We start from the raw sequence: 3,829 nt of genomic DNA, 5'->3' as shown, positions 1-3,829 counted from the left end.
ACCATAGAGCACAGTGTAGCAGGTCCACTTGTACCCTGTCCAAATTCTTAATCCACAAAATTCTGGAGTGTAAAAAAGGCTTAAGTCTTGATTTAAGCCACTAAGTTGTGTTGGTGTGGTGTCAAACAGCAGCAGTAAACAGAACAAATGGTCAGACACTAATCACTTTTTTCAGTGCCCCCTTTGGAAAGTACAGAACTTAAAGCTCAGTGAAAGGTAGTGGATTCCTGTTTTTAAATGCCGTTGTTTTTAACTTCATGCCTATTTATCTGGCTCTTATAGAATTTGTTTGTATGTATACCATAAATATAATTTAAGTATTTCTGAGACCTTTATGTAAAAAGTGACCCTAGCAAAAGTGCTATCAAAAAATATTTAAACTAGAAGAATATATGAATAACATCTTGATTCTGCTTGTATTCCCAAAGATAATTTGGGACAGATTTTAGTTAGGATTTAATTTTGCTACTTGGGAAAGAAAACTGAAATCAAGAGTGGCTTAAATGCATAAGATTTTATCCAAATAACTTAACAGTCTCAGGTGTGGGGGTCAGACAACACACCTAAGTTTGAGCCATGTGTCACTAAAAATACACAGGTTTTCTCAGCTTTCTAACCAATCCATTTCTAGGGTTTGATCCAAAATGGCTGCTGTTCCTCCACCTATTATGTCCATATGAATGAGGAAAGAGAAGGAGTGTTCCTGGACCAAACTGAGGGCCGGGCTGCTATTTCTTGTGGCCCAATAACAAGATGCAGATAAACTGGGGAGGAAGAGAATTTTTTTTTTTTTGAGACAGAGTTTCACTGTATTGCCCAGGCTAGAGTGCAGTGGTGCGATCTCGGCTCACTGCAAGCTCCAGCTCACTGCAAGCTCCGCCTCCCAGGTTCAGGCCATTCTCCTGCCTCAGCCTCCAGAGTAGCTGGGGCTACTGGCACCCGCCACCGTGCCTGGCTAATTTTTTGTATTTTTTGTAGAGACGGGGTTTCACCATGTTAGCCAGGATGGTCTCGATCTCCTGACCTCATGATCCACCTGCCTCAGCCTCCCAAACTGCTGGGCTTACAGGCGTGAGCCACTGTACCCAGCCAAGAACTTTTTTTTTTTTTTAAATTTCTGTAACCGGTTACAGGGAGAAGGCCTGGAAATTATCACCAGATGAACTCAAAATTACAAGTTTTCCAGAGCTTATAAACCTTCTAAGCTATATGTCTACATTTAAGCGTGCATTCATCTAAAGACATAAATGATTAACTTCTTTGAATCTATAACTAAGGTCTGAGTCTTGCAGACCTTCCTCTGAAGCCTCAGTAAATTCACTTAACTAAATGGGTCCAGGTTCTGGGGTGATTACCCTTATCTTGTCTCCTGCTAATTCACGTAGGTTTACAGAGTTCTTCAGACCCCCAGTAACACTTGTTTAATCCTAAATGTTCCTGTTAAGAATTTCTTTGTTGTTTTGTCTTGGTTTAAGGCCCAGGAAAGGTGTAGGCAAAACTCTTGGTAGGTTTTTTTACATTCCAGCCTTTGTATCAGGGCACTGGCTCTTTCAGCTTTTAACACGTAACTTAACCCCCTCAGTTGGTGCTTAAGCTCTTGTTATGCAGGCCTGCATTAGTGAGACCTGGCCTGCCACAGGAGTAGGTCAAGTACTAATCTAGCATACTCTTAGGAAGTTGAACATTGTATTTCTATTTTTATATTCATCAGAACTAACATGGCCACACTCAGCTGGAAGGATATCTGAGAAATTGAGTATATCTAGGGAAGAAATTTGCCCAGTTAACATTCAGAAGTTCTGTTACTAAGGACAAAGTGGAGAATGGATTTTATAGTACTACTAGTACTAGTAGAATTCTCTACTAGAGTGGATGCATTGAAAAGTGTTTCAATTTAATACATGTTTCAGAGAAAACACTAATGCATATAAAGGAAGCACCTACTCTGTGTTAGAGACTACATTGTTATCTTAACCTGTGATGTACAAGTTTTTGGCCTCATTTTATAGAACAGTTATATATTCACCAAAGTTAAGAAATATGCCCAGTTTTTGTTGCAATAAGTAGCAGAGTCATAGTTATAACCTAAGAAGGCTTTCTGATGGCAAATCTCATTTTCCTTGAGAGAGAGGAGAACTCTGGAGAGTGATATGGGCAGTGACGTTGAAGAAAGGAATGTGTGTTTTGCTTGTATTGAGCTACCAACCATACACCATGATGACTGATAATGAAGATGACAATGATGGTGATGCTAACTTCTATTGAACATTGCCTGCAGGCACTCCTTTAAAATAACTGTTTAAAACTTTGGGTTTTAAAACTTTGGGTTTCTTTCTGAAGAATAGGACCATGATTTTGTTCAAATATTTAAAATGATTGTCAACAGTTCCTCTTTTAGTGCTATAAACCTTCTTTGGCCTTGCACATAGTTGCATTCTCAGTAACTTATCTTGACTGAACTGAAGACAAAGTTTTTGTATTTTTAGTTGTTTCAGTTCATCTGAAGATGAAGCTCTTTATCCAGCTTGCTAAACTGGAAAATAATTCAAATGTCAAATATTAATGTTATAAGGAGTTCTGTGACCTTTTAAATTTCTCTGATGTACTTTGGAAATGGTTATTTCCAATATCTTACACTTGGCTGTGCCTGGGTTTATTCTTCGTTAAAAAATGAACTTCACACGCCTGAGAAATTTTTGAATGCTGGTGCTACCCAACATGTTTGGAACTTACACAATTATTGTCTTTAAAGCAGCATAGTCCTTAAAATCCATAAAGCCTGCAATAATAGTTCTAAGAAAATATGCAGCTACCAGACTAACACTGTTGTGAAGTAACAGCATAAATAGAATAAGACCAGTTAAGAACACTACTCCAAAGTGGGCTGTGCTTTCAGGAAATGAGGTATCATAAAAAAGATTCAAACAAATTTGGAAACAGTGCCTGAAGAAGTCCTATTAGTACTAATGTCATTAAAGTACAAAATATTTTCTAGATTTAATATTTTTTGTTGGTTTCTTTAATTTCCTACTTGCTTTCTCAATTCTTCAAGTAAATCCAGGGTTAAGTAGCAGCTTTATTTCAAGGCAAGAAACAGCTACATTTTCCCTAGTGTCACAAAAGCAGTAAAGCTGAGGATAATAGCTTCTGTTAGATTTCTTTATAGGAAATCTTAAATCACGAATCTCTTGGTTTTGCAAGATAAATATGTAAAATAAAAATTGAAAATAAAAATCTGTATGATTTTAAATAATTAAATATAAATTTATATTGTCCATAGAAATATCTAATGTTTCTATATTCCTAAGTCTTTATTTAAACTCAAACTTTTTCAGTAGGTAGTAAAGTGCTGTGTGTTGCTAAAAGGCATGCTATAAGTTTTGAACTCAAAATCTCAGTGAGATATATTATAAAATCTTGAGTCTGAGATTTTATAATAAATTATAGTAAAGTCTCTATCTAGTAGTATATTTAACTGCTAATATATCTATATCTGCTATTTTCCTCTTCTCCGAGTTGTGGTTACTTTTCAAATCAAAGTAGTTATAAGTCAATGAGACACAGAAAAATTTCCAATCTTATAAATTAGAATTCATTTTAAACATGCAGCTGCTTGTGCCATGCACATGGTTTTATTTGTAATCCATGTTGGATAGTTCTAGTGCTAGAATTAAGATTTTAGGTATTCGGATGCCCCATGGAGAAGACTGACTGTAATTTCCATAACCAACCAGTTACATTCTTAGTCTGGAAAATTTTAAATGTGAAATAAAGGAGAGAATACATTTTGAAACATAATACATCATTCTATAAGCTGTTGTTTGTTAGA

At 36.1% G+C, this 3,829-nt stretch overlaps 1 annotated feature.

The window, feature by feature from the left end:
* Nucleotides 1,086–1,789: an enhancer, noted in NCBI's record as "NANOG-H3K4me1 hESC enhancer chr5:44911606-44912309 (GRCh37/hg19 assembly coordinates)". NCBI's record gives its function as "activates a minimal SCP1, AML or CMV promoter by ChIP-STARR-seq in primed H9 embryonic stem cells {active_cell/tissue: H9 hESC(primed)}" and the evidence as "EXISTENCE:reporter gene assay evidence [ECO:0000049][PMID:30033119]".

Source organism: Homo sapiens, chromosome 5 (genome assembly GCF_000001405.40).
Source record: "Homo sapiens chromosome 5, GRCh38.p14 Primary Assembly".
In the NCBI taxonomy this organism is placed as follows: Eukaryota; Metazoa; Chordata; class Mammalia; order Primates; family Hominidae; genus Homo; species Homo sapiens.
This window is presented reverse-complemented; position numbering and strand designations above follow the sequence as displayed.